Raw genomic sequence first — 24,533 nt, forward strand, 5'->3', positions numbered from 1 at the left:
TCACAATCCAACCCAGAAATAACGTTTCACCAGCTATCTAAGGGGCCCAGTCAGATGTTTCTTTTCATCTCCTTGTCACTGTATCATCCATACATATTACCTTAAGCCATGTTTAATCTCTAAATAAACACAATATCAAGGCTATAATTTCAGCTAACATTATATGACTAATCAATATTCAACCAAAAATGCACTAATCCCTTCCCCAGAAGAGTAGGTAAAGTCCTTGGGTGATGTGTGTTCCTCTTCTGATATTCTGTAACTCAAATATTATTACATAAAATTAATACTACCTAATCACTGATATAAAGTCAACACATATTATGTTATATAAGGACATAAGAAAGGAAATAAAACAAACATACTTGCTTAATATATGTATATATATGCAAAAATGTATTTAAAAGAAAATAGAGATAATACTCATGACAATTACTGTCATTGTTTCTGTAAGTGGTCATGTCGTCATACCTGATATTTGTAACTATCTTCTTATACTACCCATCTCTATTCCCTTGCCTTCAGCAACAACCTCGGCTGCTTGTGGTTCTTTACCTGGTGGAGTGACCCTAACTTTCATTACTGAAGGGTGTGGGCCATTTTAGTCCTCCCTGGATTGGGTTGTTACAGTTTTCCATTTACCCAATCACAGGGCTGGGTAATCCTAAGAAATGCTCTAAGGAATCTTCTGTCTTCCTTATCTCCAGTGTGCAGTAGTAGTCAAATTTCCCATTGGTCATCCTGGATCAATCACTCTAGTCAAAACCTTAACTCCCTTCTTTGCCAGTTGACTAAGAGGCATGAGTCCAAAGTGGCAAGGTTGCAGTCTTACCTTCCAGTTAAATGGAGTCATTGTGTCTCCTGGTGGAAGCATTCTTCCCTCTGGAGCTAAGACTACTAGGGAAGCAAAGCATAAAGTCATGGGGACAGGGAGCAAAAATTTGGTAGTGGGTCACTACAGGCAATAGTGATTCCTGGCCCTATGAATCCTGGCTCCTGAAGAAACTTCACCATCTATTGGATGCTGATTCAGAGTATATACATCCTTTGGGAAATCCTTACTCCAGCCCTGCAAGGTATTGCCACCAAGCTGAAACTGCAACTGAGTCTTCAAAATCAATTTCACTATTCTATCAAGCCAACTGCTTTAGGATGGTGCATGGTAAGACCAGTGAGTTCCATGACCATTGGTTCATTGTCATACACTTTTTGCTGTGATGTGAGCTTTTTGATCAGAAGTAATGGAAAGTGGAATACCATGGTGATTGATGAGGAATTCTGTAAGTCTATATATGTGAAACCTGCTAAGATCAGTGAATTCCATGACCATTCGCTCATTGTCATACACTTTTTGCTGTGATGTGAGCTTCTTGGTCAGAAGTAATAGAATGTGGAATAGCACGATGATTGATAAGGCATTGAATAAGCCTACAGGTGTTAGTTTTAGCAAAAGCAATGTGTGTAGGGAAGGCAAATCCATATCCAGAATTAGTGTTCCAGTAAGACTAAAATGTTACTCCTTCCATGATGGAATCAGTCTAATGTAATCAACCTACCACCAGGTAACTGGCTGATCAGCCAGGGGGATGGGACATATTAGGGGCTTGGTGCTGGTATCTGCTGCTAGCAACTTAGGCACTAGTGGTGACCGTTGCCAGGTTCCCCGCATTGAGTGGAAGTCCATGTTGCTTAGCCCATTCATAACCTACATCCCTGCCACTGTGCCAATTGTCCATGAATCCATTGGGTGATGACAAATTTGGCTGGGGAAAGAGGCTAACTGGTATTCGCAGACTGGGTCACCCTTTCCAATTGATAATTAAAATCTCTTTCTGCTGAGGTCATATTTTAGTAAGCATTCAAACAAGAAAGAAATATTTTCACTTTTTTCTTTTCTTTTTTTTTTTTTTTTTTGCTCAATCAGGGTGATCCATCTACATACTACTTCTCCAACTTTATTTGTAACCAATTTTCCAATCATGTTTATTCCAAGCTTCTCATCATTGGCCACAACCATGCATCTGTATATGATCTCACATCTGGTCATTTCTATCTCATAGTAAAATGCACAGCCAGGTACACTGCCTTAAGTTCTGACAACTGGGAAGATTTTCCTTACCACAGTCCTTCAGGGATGTCCCAGAGAAGAGAGGTAGTGCTGCAGCTTTCCATTTTTGGGTGGTACCTGCATACTATGGAGAACCAGCTATAAACCAGGCCTGGGTCTTCTCGTCCTCTGTCAACTGATCATAGGGAAGTAGCCACAAGCCCACAGGTGAGGACAGAGTGAGAAATTAGTGTAGCAGGAGTGGGGACCATTGACATTTAGACCTCTTCTTTATATAACTTACTTAAGTCTTCAGCATCTGCTTGGATTCGACCAGGTGTATATCACTTCTATTGTATGATGGCATGTTGCTTTGCATGTACAATTTTAATCTATAAGTTAACCTGTATGAGCTTTAAAAGCCAAATAGTAAGGGGGTTAGGTTTGAGAATAGCATGGCCAGCAGGGATTTTTTTAATGAAATTATTTTTACAATATTCTAAACTGCCGAGTGTTCCAACAGAATTGTTTTGAAAATGGTTACTCACTAGATACATGACTTTGGAAATCTTGCCTCCTCAATTTTCCCATCAGTGATACGGATTTAATAATAATATTCACCTTAGAGGGCTGCCATGCAGTGAAAAGAGCTAAGGCATGTACAATGCTTATAACAGTGCCCAGCAGAATAATCACTCAGTTTGAATCTAAAAGTCCTTCAGTGAAAATGTTGGGGATGATTTTCTTAAGACTTGGAAGAGTTTCAATAAAAACTGGTGCAATCAGAATCTAATATACTGATGATACATATACTTCTTAAGTTTTTATTTATAGTGATTAAATAATGTAATAACTTGTATTATACTTAAGTAGATTCAAGGTAGCAGCTTGAATCTGAACCCCGTTTGTTACTAAATACTGTACCCATCCTTCACCCACCCTGTTTGTTATTAAACAATGGGTCTCATGTAACATTTTCATGTCAATTGTTTTTATCTAAAAAATTGCGTGTAGCCAGTTCTGTCGTGCATTGAACAGCAAAATGGACTTCTAAAATTGTACTAGTATTTTTTCTAATTAGGATAAAATAAAATAATTTGCTTCTATACCTCTTTAACTTCATTGAACCATATACAGTCACATCATTTCAGTATTTACTTCAGGATAACAATTCAAACTATACAGCTACACCACCAACTGCAAATTATTCTGGGAAAATGGGACTGAGGTTAAGTTGACAGAAGAATATATCATCTTTCTGGAGGATGTCAGTGCGCAGTTATACTGTGGGCAAATTATTGTTATTCTAAACATAGACAGTTATACAATCATGCAAGGTAAATAGGGACATCAGTGAAGGACATACTGGTTTTATTACTTTCTTGCTGAAATGCTTCTTTTACTCAGTCATATAAATAAGAATGCGCCATGTGAGTAAAATATATAAAAGATCAAGAACTATTTGTTCTTGATAGTGTACTGGTAAATATACAAAATTACTTTAATTGTAGAAAACTGTCAAATCTTTACCCACACACCAGGTGTAAAGGGACATTGTTTTTGTTTCTATTTTAGGATTTTTATCCCTTCCTTCCTTCCCTCCCTCCCTCCCTCCCTTCCTGCCCGCCTGCCTTCCTTCCTGCCTTCCTTCCTTCCTGCCGTCCTGTCCTTCCTTCCTACCGTCTTTCTCCCTTCCCTTCCTTCCCTTCCCTCCCTCCCTCCCTCCCTCCCTCCCTCCCTCCCTCCCTCCCTTCCTTCCTTCCTTCCTTCCTTCCTTCCTTTCTCCCTTCCCTCCCTTCCCTGACTTCCCTCCTTCCCTTCCTTTCCCTTCCCTTCCCTTCCCTTCCTTCCCTCCCTTCCTTCCTTTCTCTCTCTCTTTCTCTTTCTTTCTTTCAAGTCTCCCTCTGTCACACAGGCTGGAATACAGTGTTGTAAATACAGTTCACTGCAGCCTTGAACCCCTGGGCTCAAGCGATCCTCCTCCCTCAGCCTCCCAAGTAGGGAGGACTAGGGGAACATACCACTGTGCCTGGTTAATTTGTTTGTTTTTATTTTTATAGAGATAGGATCTCGCCATGTTACCTGGGCTGGTCTTGAACTCCTAGCATCAAGTGATCCTCCCACCTCGGCTTTCCAAAGTGCTGGGATTACTGGCATAAGCAACTACACCCGAGTTTAGGATTTCTATTAATTAATAAGGTGTGGAAACAAGAAAAGCCTGGAAACAAATAGCAGTGAAATGTAAATGATTTCTCTTGGTAATATTTAATATTTAAATTATGTTTGCCTTTGTAATAGCTTTATCCACAATTTTGAAAAAAGTTAAAAAATGTTAAAAATCTTAAAAATAATGCCCTAAAACTTCAATTCTATTTTTAACATATAAATTTATAAAAAATAGTTAATGCCCACTAAATGTTAACTTTAAATACTCTAGAATATATTAAAAAATGTTAAGAATAAATATTGCTTCTTTGGTTACCTTACTTAAATATTATAAATATAGGCATGTATTGAGAGTGTAGACTAAAGACAAAGCACAATGCACACTTCATCATTACAGTGATATTTAGTTATCCAAATGAGCATAAAATCCTGACATTTCAATAATGCAAACAAATCACTTCCTTTAATATTTTTTGTGTCTTTATATCATCTACTTTTCCCCTCTGAGTATGGAGGAAACAGACTATAAATCAAGCAAATAACTTTTGCTTGATAGATTATGAAAAAATATTTGATCTTTTGGTCTCATGAAGCTACACAGCCAAAATGCTTTTACTTTCTGGCATGAGTCCCAGACTCCAAGTGTCATTCAAAAGGAACATTTTGAAGACACAGTGCTTGATATTTTACATCTTCTTGTAAATCTCTATTTTTTTCTTTTACTATTGCTTTACTTTTTACAGAGTTTCTTACACGTAGCTGCAGAAGTTATTATCAAATGGGAAAAATTATAAAACTAATTAAAATATTATTTCTTCAGGATATCTCAGCTGTGAAAATGGCAACATACTGTAAAGATAGAGAGGGAGATAACAAGACAGCAAGCGAGACAGAAAACTACAATTAAACATGTAACAAAAATTACTCACCTGAACTGCTAGCTGTTCACAAAGGTTATGCCCAGTCCCTGAACACAAAGACAGTCTACCATACCTGTGAATATTGTGAATACTTGATAAACCCACAGCAACAACACCAGAATAAAAACCTTTAATGTTTGCACAAGCTGAACTGCTAAAGAATTTTAACTATGCCAAGAATAAGACTAGAAAATAGAATATGGATCTCTTTTTTATATGAATTCAAAAACTTCCATTAACTTTTTTTATTTGAAGAATTAAAAATTACAGATAATTTGACTAATATCATTTCATGTATTCCTATTTTAAATATCATTTATTTATACTAGAATGTATAATATAATGGGATATTAAAGGAATAGTCTTGTTAACAACTATATTAAAAGGTTTAAGAACTATATTTCTTCTAAGCATTAAACAAACTTTCTTTGTACCTCATAAAATTAGAAACACAATATAGAATACTTAGTAAGTACAGTGTAAGCATGCATGTTGATTCTTTAATGCATGATATTTGGTATATTATATTTGAAATAAGCATATAGGGAAAATCTTATATAAAAACTACCTATTTTATTGAATTACATAAAATTTACACGCATAAATTTATAAAATATTCAAACGAAACATCTGGAAAGGCTTCTTTGACAAAAACAATTTGTAAGTCTTAAATTATTATGAACTTCAAAGTAACACATGCTATTTTACTTTTAATTAAAATATTTTTAAAAATACGGAGTTTTTTGAAATAAAAATATGGGAGACGTAAAATCTAGTCTTAACCTTCTGTCTACCTGATGGAGTAGCAAACCGATTTGCTTTCCTAGGTCTCAGTTCTTTATGGGGTGATTCATAAACGGTATGTCTCCTACCTAAATAAGCAAATTATTTTTGGTATTAGGAATACGACTGTAGTCACATCTTGCCTTTCAGAGTTTAATCTACAAGGCTACTTTTCTTTCTGTAACCATTATTGTCAAGGGTTATTTGAGGCCTACAGCAATGTTTGAGGCAGATAATTTTTATGATAAACTATGAAGAGGTAGATGAACTAAAATTATATGACCCAGCTGAGACAACGGGAAGCTATAGAAAAAGAAAAAATCATAGATTGGTGGATAGTATCTTTTGGCGCTTCAAAGATAGGTGAAAAAATATTGATTGCAAGAGAAATTATATTTTGTGGAGGCAGGAGTCAATCAATACCTCTTAGCAAGAAGAAATTTTGAGTGCTCTTGCCATTCATAGACGTCTGGGAAATCAGAAGCAGGTCACAGAGCAGGAAGGAAGGAAATACCGCGAACTCTAAACTAAGAGCAGAAGAGTAGGGGATTCTAAGAAATAAGAGGTAGATCACATGCAGTCATAGTAGCAGAGGTAAATTATTCAGTCAGTCAGGAATTGCTGGGAGCTGAATTAATGGTCATTGAGACCTTGAGAGCGTGACCAAATTTTAAACCACTGACAAATTATTTGTAATCCTTGTTTCTGGTTCTTAACCTGCGTACAGTCTGCATCAGTGGAAGTCTAGGCAGAATGCAGAATGCTCACTAGGCTAGGACTTTAAAGAGAAGTTAATAAAAGATTATAAATATATACACAATATGCGTGTTTATAACATGTGTATATAATATATATGTTTATTTCTGAAGAATTAAATATATTATTCATACTATATTTAAATATGTATAATATACTTAATATACATATATAATATCCCAGTTTGATTCTTGGGACATAATACATATATGTATCTATAAATTACATATATATAATATAATATACCAACAAGTAAATTTTATTACATATATATAAGGTTTTTGTTTAAACTACACTACTGAATTCATTACTAGTGAATACTGTCTTTGACATATTCCATTCCCCATGTAAGTCTCTTAAGGAAAACAGAGTTCATTGAAATTGACTTCTAAGGTCAAATGTCTTTGGGTCTTGTGTAAGGTCAAGTGTATTAGCTAATGCAAGTATTAACACCAGACCCAAAGAGCATCTAATAGTAGATGAAATAGTTTCAAAGAGTCCAAAAAGTAGGGACAAGAACTAGTGACTCATTCTGCTAAAGATTGATGATGTTTGTAAAGCAAAAGGGATTTATTGACTTATTTATTGATTTGATTTATTGGTTTGGAATGATTTTTTTTTCCCAAGAAGCATTCATGAATGTGCCACAAACGCAATCAAAGAAAATGCAGCGTCTGCATCTTGGTGGAGAGTGAAGCTCAGCAGACAGCTGCAAGTGCAGAGGATTTAACGAAGAAGAATGATTTTTGCGGCAGAGATACATCACACAGCACAGCACTGTGCTCAGTCAATAATGACGACTAACCAAGATGAGATGAGAATTAGAGTAGCAAACAATGCCTGCAGAGTGACTACCGTAAGAGAGAATAAAAGGCAGTATGTAATTATAGCTGTTTTTTTTATTTCCCCCCCAACTATGGCATATTATGGCATAAAAATTGGTGAATGAAAAGGAAGTCACACAAAACAAACAAAATCCTTAATGCATTTTAGTTTGACTAGATACCCAGATGGCATGCATTTACCCTATAAACGAACAAAATAATATAAAATGCGGAAGCCTCAATGATGACTCAGGTAGATTTAACTGCATGAGTTTATACCAGCACAAAGGAGGAACTGATTCTAGATAACTGACTCTAGAAAAAGAATTCATAAGAAAGACATTGGATAGCTCATAAGATCTCCAGAGATGTAGAGAACCAGCTTTGGAGACCAAGCAGCCAAAAGCAATGCTCAAATCATGCTGCACATCTAGTCCACCAAAGACATAACTCTGTCTCTGGAAATGAGATGATACCTGTTTATGTCATGGGAACCGCTGAGTCAGAGTCATAGAAACAGTCTCTCCTAATGCAGCTCTGCTGAGACTGTCCTCTGGGTTTAGCTGCACTCACTGCAGCTACCTATCACCAGAAAGCATGTCGTTGTGTCCCTTCTTCTTCAGGCAACTAGCAACCGTTTCAAAGTCAATGTGGAATCAGCACAACCTTAGTTAGGTGTTTGTAATTTTTCTGTGAGGGACTGGGAAAGTAAGACTCTGGTATACTTGGCTTCTAAACAAGAAACTGGATATACCTAAGTGGTTGGGAATTTTACAAACACAATATGTAGATTAAGATGCTGGGTAGACAAAAAGAATGTTAAGTGATCTCTGAAGCAAATAAGCAAAAATAACTAATGTACCCTGGACATGACCATTCTTTATGTGAAATAAGTTATAAATGAAGAAGTCCTGTGCTATGAAAATCACCAACATTCCATGGCTTTTCTTACTATCAAATTTATGTAACTGAGTAGAATTACTATTGCAATCTGGATTTATTATTATTATTATTATTATTATTATTATTATTATACTTTAAGTTCTAGGGTACATGTGCACAATGTGCAGGTTTGTTACATATGTATACATGTGCCATGTTGGTGTGCTGCACCCATTAACTTGTCATTTACATTAGGTATATCTCCTAATGCTATCCCTACATCCTACCCCCTACCCCCACCCAAAAACAGGCCCTGGTGTGTGATGTTCCTCCTCTGTAAACTGGTTCAACCATTGTGGAAGACAGTGTGGCGATTCCTCAAGGATCTAGAACTAGAAATACCATTTGACCCAGCCATCCCATTACTGGGTATATACCCAAAGGATTATAAATCATGCTGCTATAAAGACACATGCACACGTATGTTTATTGTGGCACTATTCACAATAGAAAGCCTTGGAACCAACCCAAATGTCCATCAATGATAGACTGGATTAAGAAAATGTGGCACTTACACACCATGGAATACTATGCAGCCATAAAAAAGGATGAGTTCATGTCCTTTGTAGGGACATGGATGAAGCTGGAAACCATCATTCTCAGCAAACTATCTCAAGGACAAAAAACCAAACACTGCATGTTCTCACTCATAGGTGGGAATTGAACAATGAGAACACTTGGACACAGCAATCTGGATTTTTAAAAGTAGATTAAACCCATCTTGATGGCCTAGCTATGTGACCTAGTCAACTATCATTTTAAAAATATGTGTTAATTAGAGTATAATGACAGTTGTTGGACTACATATTATTACTTGATTTGGTTATTCTGACTAAATCACATTCTGGATAATATAAATGCCACATAAACTAAATTTGTAACTTATAATTGCATTTTAAAATTCTCATTCTCTAGTGGCTACATTTTTTTCTGATAGTTCACATCCATCTTATAGCACCGTAATTATTACTATATTTTATTTTATTTTTTTATTTTATTTTATTTTTGAGATGGAGTCTTGCTCTGTCGCCCAGCCTGGAGGGCAGTGGTGCGATCTTAACTCACTACAACCTTCACCTCCTGGGTTCAAACAATTCTCCTGTCTCAGCCTCTCAAGTAGCTGGAACTACAGGTGCATGACACCATGCCTGGCTAATTTTCGTATTTTTAGTACTGACGGGGTTTCACCAAACTGGCCAGGCTGGTCTCCTGACTTCAAGTGATCCACCTACCTCGGCCTCCCAAAGTGCCGGGATTGCAGGCTTGAGCCATCGCGCTTGGCCCAATTACCACTGTATTCTTGAGCTACCATTATACCACTCTTTAGTCCATGCATTTTAAAATATGTATACACTTATTTTAAAATGCTTGCCTCTATTTTTTGTTTCAACAGACACTTCTGAATACCTTGGAACTTGACTTTTCCTCTTAACACTTCGTTGTATACGTTTTCAAGTAGGACAACTAATGACTGTCACGTTGGTGAATCCAGTGGCCCTTTGATTGTCTTCATCCTCCAATGTCTTTGTCATATTTGTTTATATTGCTTGGATCACCTTTGGTACTTTCTTTCCTTGTCTTCTATATTATCTCATGTTGCGTTTTCCTTCTACTTCTGTGGTCACTAATTCTTGGATCTTTTTCTTCTGCTCCTCTTCTAAATGCAAATATCTCACCAAATTCTAAATATCCTCCTCTCTTCCATGTAACACAGCCATCTTTGGTCACTCATTCCATAGAGTTTGTAGAGTTATTAACAGTCCAATCTAAATGTGTGATTGTCCTATATACATCTCTGTGTTCAATTTCTATTCCAAACTACCCCTTAATTTCCATAAGCATTGCATAATGAAGCATTTCCAAAGCCAAATTTATCACATTGTCTCTCAAACCTGCTATCCCTGCAGACTTAGTATTATATATATTTTAAGGCATGAGAGAGGCCTAGCTGCAGGTCATTTGGTTCAATTATCCACATATTAAATCTCAATCTCACAGGCCAGGGCCAGGGTTTTTTTTAATTAGTGCAAGCACTGTATGTCATTGTTATGTGTGTCAAATTTTACATGGATACCAAACCTTTAAATGCCAGGAAGAGAACATAGAATAATAACAATTAGAGAAATGAGAGGCCTATTAGAACTATTGTCTATCATCAAGAACACAGAATTGTGTATTTTATATTTTAAAGCTATAGTTTGCCTTCTCCTTTTATTCAAACTTTTCATGAGCTAGGTAATGAAATTGGTAGTATGTCTTTAAAGAATTTGCAGTGGTAAAAACTTAAAGTTTCCAAAGGTGAATGTAATATCTGAAAGTTTTTGTTGCTGGTCAGCATTGTGCAGTATTCTATTTATTCTGATTCTGGTAAAATCCCCTGTTATTCTGCTAGGGATAGCATTTATCTTTTCAAAATATTGCACCCACCTACCTACATGCACACACAAAGATGCTGCCACCATGGGCCTTTCTGCTGAGCACCATATTTTGTTTGCCTTTTTTTTTTCTTTTTGAGACAGAGTCTCGCTCTGTCACCTGGACTGGAGTGCAGTGGTGCTCACTGCAGCCTCAACCTCCCCGGGCTCAGGTGATCCTCCCACTTCAGCCTCCTGATTACCTGAGACTACAGGTGAGCACCATCATGCCTGACTCATTTTTGTATTTTTTTTAGAGATGGGGTCTTGCTATGTTGCCCAGGCTAGTCTCAAACTCCTGGGTTCAAGCAATCCACCTGCCGCTGCTTCCCAAATTGTTGGATTTACAGACATGCACCACCATGCCCAGCCTTTGTTTACCTTTTGACTGAAGAACAGAATATAATACTTGATGGGCATTCATTCTACTAGAATGATTTGCAATCTTAGACATTTGTAATATTTTGAAAGTTTTAATAGGTTGGATTAACTAAACCAAAACATTTTGGATACAATATAAATTTTGTAAAGCTAAAGGTGTCTAAATCAGCAAAAGCAAGCGGTTAAGCCTAAGTTTAAGATGTTGGCCAACTTCTGTTATAAAAATTACATAACTTAATAAATAAGAGTCAAATATTTTATTTCTCAAAGCTTCTGGATTACTTATTAGCTATGCTCTAAAAGATCAGCAAGTGAGATGAAACATTAAAAATGGTAACTTGTGAAAACCACCAATGTATTTTTTCATTCTCTCTTGTATAATACATTTTAGAAAGGCAAGGATTCCAAATGTATTTTCTTAATAATGAATATGAGAACAATGCCACTGTTACTAATATTTCAGAGTTGAGATTATCAGTGCAGTCACTGATTAACACTCTTGTGTAAGTTATTGGACAAAATGATTGTTGACCCACATGCATAAGAATAATGGTAGGAATTGCATCAGTTCTGTTAGATTTTTATGTTGAGAAGCCCACATTCCTCTAAAAGTTAAGAACATAAGATCAGAATCCTGGTTGAAGGTAGAGAAACTCAGTCAGCAGAAAGATAATTTAGTAAATGTGCTTTTAATCTCTTTTCTATTTAGCTTTCTTGGGATGAAAAGAGAAACACTAACTTTGTATAGGTTTATTTTTTTCTTGGAAAGGGAAACATAATTTCATACATTTAAATTTATGCCTGGGGAGCAAAAGCTAACAGCCAAATGAGAAGTGGCACTGGAAAAAATGTAAAGAGACTATTTCTCTTTTTTAAATTGGGTGTTAATATTATTTCAAAGATTAATATAAATGTTTATATATAATATTAATAGTATAAAGTATTGGAAATTTAGCCTGTTACATTATTCTCACCTACTCATCAAGTCTTTTTTATAATTTTCACTAATTATATTTTTCTTCTCTATTGCTCAGATTATGACTTTTAGTATAATTAAACCTCCATTTTCTGATCCAGTAACTTTAAATAGAACTACTAATAAAGGGTAAATCAACTAGAATGAAGAATTTGTTTTTATCTTTGACTATTCATCCATTACTTTTTGTAAGTGTGGTAGGCAGAAAAATGCCTCCATTTCAGATGAACTAACTTCTAAATTTTTGAATCCTGTGTATATGTGACTGGTTGAAGGTGTGCAGGTTCTTGGCATCTTGAACAAAGAATTGACAAAACGCACAAAGGAAGGAAAGAATGAAGCAACTAGAGATTCTTTGAAAATGAAAGTACACTCCACAGGGTGGGAGCGGTGGAGCACAGCAGCTCAAGAGCCGTGTTATAGAATTTTCTGGGGTTTAACTACCCTCTAGAGGTTTCCCATTGGTTACTTGGTGTATACCCTACGTAAATAAAGTAGTGGTTCGTAATTTGTCTGATTGGTTGCTTACCAATCAGAGGCTGAAATGAAGTTACAAAGGTTACACCCTATGCAAGCATGTGATAGGTTGTGGAAAGCAACCAATCAGAGGCTGAAGTGAAGTTACAAGGTTACTCTCCTATGCAAACGTCTGATTGATTGCTTTCTGCAACCCATCAGAGAGAATTTCAATTTTCCATCTGCCACGCAAAAAATGGGAGGGGTTGCAAAGAAAGTAGCCTCCTCTCCTTTTGTTACTTAGGTGTGGACAGTTGGGGTTTCCTTTTGATTTAGTTCTAGGAAGTCAGTATGAATCAGCCTTGGGTTCCCTGCCTCCAGACCCTACTCTCCTATCTCATATATTTATATATATACACCTCATATATATATGAGAGATATATTTATATATATTTATACTTTGTATAACAAAAAGTGAATATTGTGTGGCAAAGCGACTAAAATAAGGGCCTTGAAAGGTAGATATTATGCTGGATTATCCATTTGGGCTTAAATGCAATTATCTATTCCGTAAAAGAGAGGCAGAGAGAGATTAGGCAGACACACACAGAGGAGGAGTTTACATGATGATGGAAGTGGAGATTTGGGTGAAAGAGGCGTAAGCCAAGGGAGCTGGAGGAGGCAAGAAAGAATTCTCCCCGAGAGGCCCCAAACAGAGTGTGGCTCCGTCAACACCTTGATATTAAACTCCTAACTCCCATATCTGTGACAGAACACATGTCTTGCTTTAAGCCACCAAATTTGTCGCTTGAAACACCAATTAGTGAGGTAATTAATTTGTTACAAACAACCATAGGAAACTTAGAGTGAGTCACACTTTTTATTCAATCAGGGCTTATGTTTCTTGTCCTTAAGTACATTTGAGGCTTTTTCATTTGTTTGTTTGGCTTTTATCCATAAGTTAACTTTATAGATGCAGATTAGAGAACATTTCAAATATTATCTTATATAAATATCATATATAAGGGACAAAGTGTTGTGACAAGACTCAGAAAGACAAATATCAGTAAATTTAGGGTGCCTGAAACAGTTTTAAAACTAGATTTTTTTTCTCTTCATCAGTTACTCAAAAATCACCTCATGTTTTGATTTATTTTGTATTTGAGTCATGACTTTAGTGTACAGCTTTTTTCTTGTCTCTTTCTAGATCATTTTTTTCTCTCTTTCCGTTCACTAAGTAAGCACTGCCTTTACTACATTAATCATACAATCTGGATAATGAAACCTACTTCACTGCTGGAGACGTTCTTCTCAGAATCCTTTGACTTCCTAGTCCACATTAGATTGATTACATCTTAGACAATTATACAGCTGTCATTCTGTATATTTTTTATTTTTGTCCTCTTGAATTACTTTCACTATTTCCTACTTCATATCTTTCTCTTTTAGTTTGCTTTAGGTTTTCTACCATTGTTTATCAAATGATATTTTAGAAATATTTTAAATTTTTGAATATTTACATTCTGTTCCCCTACTAGAGTATTTACTTAACTTACTATTACATTCTAGGCACAAAATTATTTTCACTAATAATTTCTCAGCATTGTTCTATTAGATCTTAGCATTTAGAATTAATAGTAAAAATTTTGACATGTATCATAGTTTGCCTTTCGCCTTTTTCCTTATTTATGGCTAAGTAATGTCCTTTCTTTTCCTTTCATCTCCTATCTTTAAAAATCTTAAGGGGTTTTATTTGTTGTTGCTATTTTTTTTTTCTTCTTTTAGTATTTTGAAATATTACAGAACTATGTCTAGGCATGTACCTTTAATTATCTTTTCAGTCTTTGTTTACCCTTCAGAAAACTTTCCCTTTATATTTAAAAGCACCTTGTTTTTCTTTTCTTTTTCCTTGAACTAACTTTTAGGTAAATATTAATATTCTGGATTCATTCTAAAAGTCTCTTACACTTTTATTTCTCATGATTTAAGAGACTTTCTCAATTTTATAATACAGCTCTTCCATTGACTGTACGAATTCAAGTAGTGAAACCAAGTAAAGGAATATCGGACTAAGATGTGAATGACTACTGTCTACACCTGTCAAGTAGGGCTCAAGCTTGATCTTAGACTTTAAGCTTTTCAGTGCTTACATCACATAGGACTGGGGAGCTCAGAAAGCAAGACTGTTGAAGCCTAATCAGGAATTCCTTAGGATTAAGCAAAGTTTACAGGGTCAGTCCAGGCTTGAAAAAATGTAAAGCAATTCACTCCAAAGAATGGTCTGTAGTCCACTTAGAGTCTTAAACAAAAAGAGCAAGTCCTTTTTATGGCGTTCAATGAGAAATTGAGCACCATTAAATTCTATGCTTTCATTGTTTATGTACAACAACAGGATATTTCCTAATAATTTACTAAATATATTATTAAATATCAGGAAATTTGGGTATCTGACAACTAATATTAGTAGGTTGTTAGAATTCACTTATTTCGCATTTCCCCTGCCCCCAAAACAGTGGATACCATAATCATGAGCTCCATGCACACCTCCTTTTCCATAAAGTTGGTCCTCTTCTCTGAGGTTACATTACGTAAGATCTTACATTGTGTAAGATCTCATGCTGATGATCATGGCAGTGGTGTTGGCTGAAAACTTGTGAGCAGAAAAGGCAGACCCATACATGAAATATATGCCTGTTCGTCTCAGAATTAATTGCTGGCTACTTCAGACAGAGTGCTGTCCTGATACTCTGGATATCAATGTCAGCTCAGATCCAATATGTTTGGGTAGTTCCCTTCTCCAGTGTATAATGTATAAATGGAAATCCTTCCATCTGGAGAATAATCATGGTAATTGCTGCCATGTACATTTATCATCTAATATGGGCTTCTTCTTCCTATTGACATGGATTATTTTCAGCTAGTGTGTTCTGGGTCAAAACCCAGCTAGGTCTGAAATGTGGGGAAGCGACTGTTACTTTTTACTAATGCAAATGCTTTCAGTCTTTTGGATTGTTCACTTTTTGTGGATACCCATCATTTTATCCCTCTGGACACTATTTTCCGTTACTATTTTAATAGTACTTTGCTGATTCAGGCCTCTCGACTACCCCTGTTACCTCATTGGGAGGATTTTATTCACTTGGCTTCTAAGTGCTGCCACATGGCCTCACTGGGGTCCTATCATTCTTTCCCATTACTGTCAGTGAGACAAATTTTGTAACCACCTTTCATAACATGATCCCAGGTATGCAGTGTAGAGCACCACTGAATACTGTTGTCCTTTTTAATGGAACATTCTGTATAGGCTTGATATATCACCTATCCTCCAGACCAACCTGAAAACATAACCATTTGGTGGCTTTTCAGCCTTGCTTGGTATATCTACTCTAGCCTTCCCGCTTCTCTGATACTTTTAGTACCTACTTCCTCTTTCTGTTATGGCAACTCTTGCATTTTAAAGTAGCGTGGATCATTACACTTTCACACTTCTAGGACACTTCCTAGCAACAAGTTAATTATCTCCTGGAGTTCTTGCCAGAATTTTACATCTCACATCTAGGGAAAGTGCTCCTAAATAAATGCTTTTTATTCTACTTTTATTTTTGAATTCTTCTCTTGATCAAAGACTCTCAGAAAGCAATCCCATGCTTTTCCTTTCCATGCTCCTTCTGATATTTCTGTCCAGGTTTTATTGTTCCTTTAAGATATAGTCCCTCTTTTATTAGGTACGCCCTCTTTTCTCGGCCTCTTTTATTAGGCCAAGTACATCCCTGGCTAAGGTTTGTTGAGTTCACCCTATATACAGGCTTACCAACCATGAGAGAATTTAGAACAGATTCTGAGAAGGTCATTGGTATTTTGTAAGGTAGAATCTTCTCAATGATTTTCAAGCAAAGGGAAAATGCTAGCTCTTAATATGAAAGTTTAGGTTACTTCTACCAGTTCAAGGAATTTAGAAAATCCTAGGATTCAAGATTTTCGGGGACATCAACACACATGTCTCCATTCCATGTCTCCATTCCATGTCAGTGCCACATTCTTTTCCAATGAGAGTCTTGAATTTGGCATGAAGGACCTGTGTTGGGAGTTTAGTCTTATTTGGAACTTGGCTGTACTGTTAAGCCTAATCTCCTATTTTATAGAAGTGCTGCTAAGAAGACCCTCTGACTTTCATCCTTGCTTTCAACTCGTGATCAATCTTTCTCGACATCTTGCTATTTTTCTAGAGTGCCAGTGGAGTTTAATAAGTTTAATAGTAGCTACTAAATTTCCTTGCCCTTAAAATTACTGTTTTTCTCATGTTATTCAAATGTCTTATACGTTGCACCAGATAATCTATTCCTTTCTTTCAGATACTGCCCCAATTCACTACTAGCAAAATTTAACAATTGGTCTGCCATTTATGTCAGGAATTCTTTGTTTCACCGACCACCAGTGATGGAAACTTGTATCAGCCAGACTGCAAGAGAGCCAGCCAGAACCTGCTTGAGTGCCTGCTTTCTCAGACCATTGCTTGTACTAATTGTCAGGTTGGATTCCCTAGAGAGCAGAACCTGAAGTAGAGTTTAGCATGCATGATATTTATTACAGTATCTCTGAGATCAATACCTATAAAAGGGTGGTAAAGGAAACTGACTTGAGGAGAAGGACTGAAGATTCACTGACCAATTTAGTCAAGCATGAAGGAAGTTCTAAAGCAACAATGGACTCCCATAGTTGTTTCTCACTGAATTGAAATGATCAGGCTCTTAAACTCCTGCATTGATCAGACTTTGGGTGTGAACTGCCTAGTGAAGGGATGAATCATAGGACAAGGAGCTGTTGCCTTTGAGACAATCTTTCCGGAGACTGACAGCACTTTCATCAGTTGAGGCAACAGATCTAACCGTGAAGAGTAATATGAGCAGCACATCAGAATGTCTGTTACATATGTACCACATATGCCTCAGTCATATCTACTCCAATCAAAAACTCTAATTAAAAATTCTATCCCTTTGAAATCTCCCAATGCTTACAGTAGGAAGTCTCATAATTTTAGAAGTTTATTGAAGCCAGTTCAGAAAGGTCTTCAATTGATCTTGATTTTAAATTGATGCAAATATTGGTTTTCTCATTAATATTTACTTTCAGTAATTGTTTTACATGAACTATTTGATTATTATCCTCACGGTTCATAGTAATGCACATTTGCTTTGACTTCCTTTTGTTTATACTTTGGCAGCACTAAACTTGTTTTGTGTTTGTTTTTCTTGTTTGGTTTTTGTTTTTTATTAACTAAGTGATATATGACAACATGTTTGGGACCACTAATTTTCAAAAGAATTCTAGCACCCTCAGAGCAAATATATTGAAGAGGGGGAAAAAAAAAACTTGGGTCATCATTTTTTATACTGTTTTCACAAGAATCTGGATGTTTTTCTACAGTAAGGGTGAAAAAATTATGTTGAATTTAAATTTTAGTTAGCACCACAGACAAATGCTGGTCCTTTTTTTTTTCTTTTTTAACCAAAGCAGAAAGGTGGGAGTTCTCTTTTTCATTTAAACTCTTGGTTAGAATTATGTCAGAAATTTTAAAACTATAAAAGTGAATGTTTTTGATTTGTTTTTGTTATTGCTGTGGTCCTTAAAATGACAATATATTATTATTCCAAAAAGGACACAATAGCTTTCCTTCCATTGTTTTCTCCTCAGAGAATATAGATATATTTTAATCAACAGAAAAAAATGCCTATGCTATTTAAAAATCTAATCAAATTATTGAAAATATTTTATTTCTACCTTTAAATATTAAGTTATAAAAGCAAAATCTATATGAATGCACTTTTAATATATTTATAACCACAGTAAACTTGCTGTTGAAATACAGTGTCTCTTAGACTCTCTGGCTGATTTCTTGAGAAAAATGACTTATTTGTAATCTGGAGTTTCTAATAAAAATCATTTACAATGTATCTGATCATTAATGAATTTAGTAGAGTTTTGCAAAAGTAAATGTTTCTAGATTCTTGATTGAGCTGAGATGGAAATCTAGGATTCATATTACTTTTTTCTTCAAATTCTCACTGTTTACAAATATCTTTTGGGGTTAGTTGCATTTCTCACACACCATTTCTTTTAGAATTCCTTTGAGATTTCCTTAAAAAATGCTTAGTTTTTTTCTGAACATAGAAACATCATTCTAGTGTAGAAAAGCTAGAAAACAAATTTAGCTAAGAAACAAATCTAACTTTATCTACAAAATAAAAGAATGTCATAATGTCCTGGGTTTCAACATATCAAATCCTTGCTTTTTTCTGTAGGCATTGCGTAGTGTAGCATTTCTCGCACATTTAAAGAATTGCTATTCCTGTCGGACAGTGATGTTTATAAATTATTAAAAGTGAAAAAGTGAAGTTTGTTAATTATTTGATTCTTCTATAATTTGTCTGTGTCAGTGCAGTCACTCGTCATTATTGTTACATTTATAGTGCATTCCTTGCTTTTTCTGCTTTTCAGTGAATATTGGAATCTTCAATATAAGAATGCACTTAAACTAACACAAAATTAAGGAGAAATCTCTTAGCCTGAATAATATAATTTTAACAAATAATGAAAGAAAAATTACTGGAGGAAGAGACATTTATTTATAGTGCTTTGGTATCCTGTGACGATAAACCAAGTTGAGGAGATTAAAAACATAATTAGGCAAAGACTTTTCATCTTATCACTCAATATTATTCTTAGTTAAGAGTTAGTGTGTTATTAATATTGTGTCTGAGAAAACTTGCTTCACTGGAATTTCAGGATTTGTTTCGAGTGCTGACATTAGGCAAAAATTGAAAAATGAAACAATTTGGGGAGGTTGATTTTAATTTTAAAAATTAAATCAAATTTAATTTGGGTGTATATATTTCAATGAATTATGAATTGTAGGCTGTGGTGTTCTTTAAATGAGGGGTCAGTAAAGGACCTAGATGTTGATTATTGTCAACTAAACTGACAGTATTAATTTTAAAATCCATGAAAGTTCCATGGAACTTGCAAATTGCTTGAGAAATACATATTGTTTTATTGTTATGGAAGTAAAAATAAAATTTCTAAATATGAGTTTAAAGTTTAATGAACTTTAAAGTTATATATACCTTTTGAGATGATATTGTCTCTGTCTAATAAGCTGAAAAAGATTATAATTCTTAGAGGGTTTGGATTTTGTCTTCTAATACATTATTTACATCTTTTATGCATGCTTATTTATGACTAATAAGTATGTTTTCCACATAAGAACATATTTAAAGGAAATGATATTTTTCATTCAAATATAAAATAAGATAAAGTATTAACTACAAAATCTTTCCATTGTACAGAAGGCGATAATCAAAGTCTTTCAAGACAGAGAGAAAGTATCTGATTTTTACAACAACCTCTTATACCTGTATTCTAAGACTAGAACTACAAGTTATGGAAACAGTAGTTTACTAGGTCTGCTGTGTCTATTTGTTATATAATTCAAAGTACAGAAAGATTGAACTGGCTTTATATATTGCTTTTTAAAGTTAAGAATGATATCTTTTTAGTTTGTTTGCATCTCTGATTTGACTGATTCATTGAACAACAATTGTTAAAGACCATGACAGAGAGGATACTGTGCTAATTCTGGAGAAGAATTCCAAAATGACTTCGACATAGAGCATGGATTCAAAGGGCTTGATGTTTATATGCTAGCTTGAACACGATTAAGTTTGTAACTTAATTCTTTAGTACTAAAAGAGTCAGAGTAAATTCAAATTATAATAATAACTTCTCTATGATGCTAAGTATATGTTCAAAGCTTTGAATGGTGGCCCAAATGGCTATAGTTTATATTTTCTATAATTAATGGTATTCTAAGTAATAATGTTCAATTAGAATCAACTGTTACACAGTTGTTGGAGAAGCATTTCTTCAGTCTGTAAATATTTTGCAGAAAATTTATTTATTCAGGTGATGCATTCATTTCCTAAAACTGCTGTAATGAAGAATCATAAACTGGGTGGATTAAAGTGCATAAATTTATTGTTTCACAGTTCTGGAGGCTAGCAGTCCAGAGTCAGGTTATCAGCAGGATTTGTTCCTTCTTAGGGCTGTATTATTCCTCCCTTGTAGCTTCTTATCATTGGCGGGCAATCTTTGGCATCCCTTCTCTTGTAGAGGCATCACTCCAATGCCTGCTATCATTTTCACATAACATTCTCTCTGTGCCTCTTCACATACTGTTCCCTCTCTGCTTTTCTAATTCTGTGCAAATTTTCTCTTTTATAAGGATATCAGTTATATTGGCTTAGGGCCCACCCTATACTTGATTACCTCTGTAAAAATCCTATTTCCAAATAAGGTCACATTTTGAGGGACTGGGATTTAGGACTGCAACATTTCTTTTTAGGAGGACACAATTCAATTCACAACAGATAAATAGGGATTATTCAAAACTACAGCTACATTGGCAGCTCCAAAATTCAAATAGAAAATTAAATCAAGTTGTTCTCTTTACCTACAAGTCACATTTGCTATGGCATTTTTAAACTCACAGAAAACTGTAAGTTGTATGTATTTTAATAAATACATTTTCCTATTATTGAAAAATTTCTAACTTGTTTAACTCTTAGGTTTTTTGCACAGTTGGTTTTTCTAATTATGCATTACAACCCAAGTAATTTTAAAATGTATGTGTGTTTCATCTTCCCCAGTCTATGTCTATATTAATTTTAAAGAGCTTATCACCCCAATAACATTGGATATAAAAAGAAATAAAGATACATATATCTTCTTGGAGTCTATGTCTTTACTTTTTATGATGTTGTATTTTATCAGCCTCTTCTTAATCTTCTAATATCCAAACACATATATTTTTCTAGCGTATGATTTTTAAATTTAATATAGGTGGTTTTATGTTTTATAAGCCAGTGGTTCACAGTTTTGGTTATACTTGGAGAAAAGGAAATGCTGAGAGACTTGGTCAAAAGTCTTTTATTAACAAATAGTTAGATCACTATCAGGAAGTAAATAGCCCTCGGTAAGTTGTACTATTAGTTTTATGAGTCATTTTTTTTTTTCCGGATAGCTTGTGGTAATTTGACAAATGACTTTTAGAATAATTTTGTCACTCAAGAGGCTTTAGACCTTCAGACGAAAAATCAATGTGACTATTCTGTTTCAAAAAATAACTTTTTCATAAATGCATAATGTACGTAAGAAAAATATAGCTTTTATGTGAATTATTTAATTAATAGTTTCAGTTTTCCTCTGGCAGAATGGCTATGGGGGATAGACTCTTTTTTTTTTGTTTGTTGGTTTTTTTGAGACAGGATCTCACTCTCTCGCCTAGACTGGGGTGCAATGGCCCCATCTCAGCTCACTGCAACATCCGCCTCCCAGGTTCAAGTGATTCTCCTGCCTCAGCCTCCCGAATAGCTGGGATTGCAGGCGTGCACCGCTACTGCCGGCTAATTTTTGTATTTTTAGTAGAGACGGGGTTTCACCATGTTGGGATAGACTCATGCAGCATGTCAAATCCTCTTTGTTTCACTTTAGGAATATCATCTAGCTCTTTGAATTTCATAACTCATCTCTTTATCAATATCACCTATATCAGTTCAAAATTGAATCATCTCTTATCAAAATCACTTCTATGTTTTTCTAAATGGGCTAAACAAAAAATCTCGAAAACACGCTCAAAAAGTATTTCTCATTGAAACTAGATTTTTAAAAAATACAAACTTGATAGTATTACCCATCTACTTAAATATTATCAATACATTTCTATTACTATGAATATAAAAATGGGCTCCATAATATGGCAGACAAGGGCCTCCATGTCCACAATCCATGCTAGCAAAGTTTTGAAGATGTTGCAGTTCTTTTTTTTGTATTTCCTCCCTTCCCAGGTTAAACCTCTGGTGCCTCTGATTTTCATGCCCCACCCATTTTTATTTTTATTTTTCAAAGCATTTATTAGAAAACACTCCATTTTGTTCAAGCTTTCTCTTTCAACTCTTTGGTCAAATTTGAAATGTCAAAAAATTAATAATAATATTTTGATTTTCACGTACTATGTGTATTTTCAAAAGTGTCTATAGGGCAATGGCATTACTTAGGTAAAAATGACAAATTCTTATTTTAGAATTACACATTCTGGCACATACCAGTGATAAAGATTTGTTGGGTTTATGAGATTATCTGTGTAAACAGGAACACTTGAAATGTTTGCAATTGTCTACTGTCATATGAAGTTTCTTATATTTAAATAGTACAGCAAATGCATAAAAAATATGTTTTGACATGATGACACACTCAATAGCAGCAAAAGATTATAGACCAAAATTCTTGTCAAAAATTCAAATATTTGATGTCAAAAAATATTTTAAAAATAAACACTGAATATCACTCAGTTGAAAATTAAATTCAATTTCATTTTCCTATTTATAAACTTAATAGCAGTCTTCTTTATGTTGACATTTTAATTTATAACATTAATTTTAAAAATTTTACTGACTATCCGATAAAAATGAGATGATCCTATTCCAGATATAATACATATAAATCAACTTAAAAATAAAAAAATCAGAATAAAGTTTTATAAACGAATGCAGGGTTATGGTTTTATGTTCATAAAACTAATATATGCATAAGTAAATAGACTTCTAGTTTTAATAAATTTTAGAAAACTCTTCCCAAAAGGCAATGAATGAATTCTTTTCAGTTTTTCATCAAGTCAGAAAGAAGATTTCACAGAATGATGAACACAGAAGGTTTTTTCCGGATTCCCTCCAGTGCTGTGTACATCATTGGCCTTTAAAAAAAATAAATTGAAGGGTGGATATATATCAGAGCCTAAAATTAGGACATCAACATTCTAGTCTTCATTTTATCACTAATAATTTCTTTTACTCACTTAACTTCTTCCAAGGAAAGATGAGGTGTTTAGGAAGAACAGGAACATCTGTGAGAATTGAAAGCTTCAGAATGTTATCGCTTGTATAAAGTTGGCACTATGGTTTGGATATTTGCCCCCTCCCAAACTCATGTTGAAATTTAATTACTATTTTAACACTATCAAAAGAAAGACTCTTTAAAAGGTGATTAGACCTAGGCTGGGTGTGGGGGTGGCTCACACCTGTAATCCCGGCACTTTGGTAGTCTGAGGCAGGCAGAATGCTAGAGATCAGGAGTTCGAGACTAGCCTGGCCAACCTGTTGAAACCCTGTCTCTACTAAAAATAAAAAAGTAGTCAGGCATGGTGGCAGGCACCTGTAATCCCAGCTACTGGGAAGGCTGAGGCAGGAGAATCACTTGAACCCTGGAGGTAGAAACTGCTGAGGTGATGCCACTGTGAGCATGGTGGCTCACACCTGTAATCCCAGCAGTTTGGGAGGCTGAGGCAGGTGGATCACCTGAGGTCAGGAGTTAGAGACAAGCCTGGACAACAGGGTGAAACCCTGTCTCTACTAAAAATACAAAAATTAGCCGGGTATGGTGGTGGGCGCCTGTAATGTCAAGATTGCGCCACTGCACTCCATGCACTCCAGCCTAGGTGACAAGAGCGAGGCTCAGTCTCAAAGGAAAAAAAAAAGAAAGAAAAAGTGATTAGATCATGAGGGCTCCAACATTAAGGGTGGAATTGGTGCTGTCACAAAAGGACAAATTGAGTTTGTCCCCCTTTTGCTGTCTCTCACATTCCACCATGTCATGATGTAGCAAAGAATGCACTCTCCAGAGGCTAGCACTTTGCTGTTGAACTTCCCGGCCTCCAGAGCTGGGAGCCGTAAATTTCTGCTTGTTATAAATTACTCAGTATTTTGTTACAGCAGCACAGAACAGACAAAGATGGTTACATGGGAGTATCGGGTTGATTTG

The sequence above is a fragment of the Homo sapiens genome, chromosome 3 (assembly GCF_000001405.40).
Source record: "Homo sapiens chromosome 3, GRCh38.p14 Primary Assembly".
Classification (NCBI taxonomy): Eukaryota; Metazoa; Chordata; class Mammalia; order Primates; family Hominidae; genus Homo; species Homo sapiens.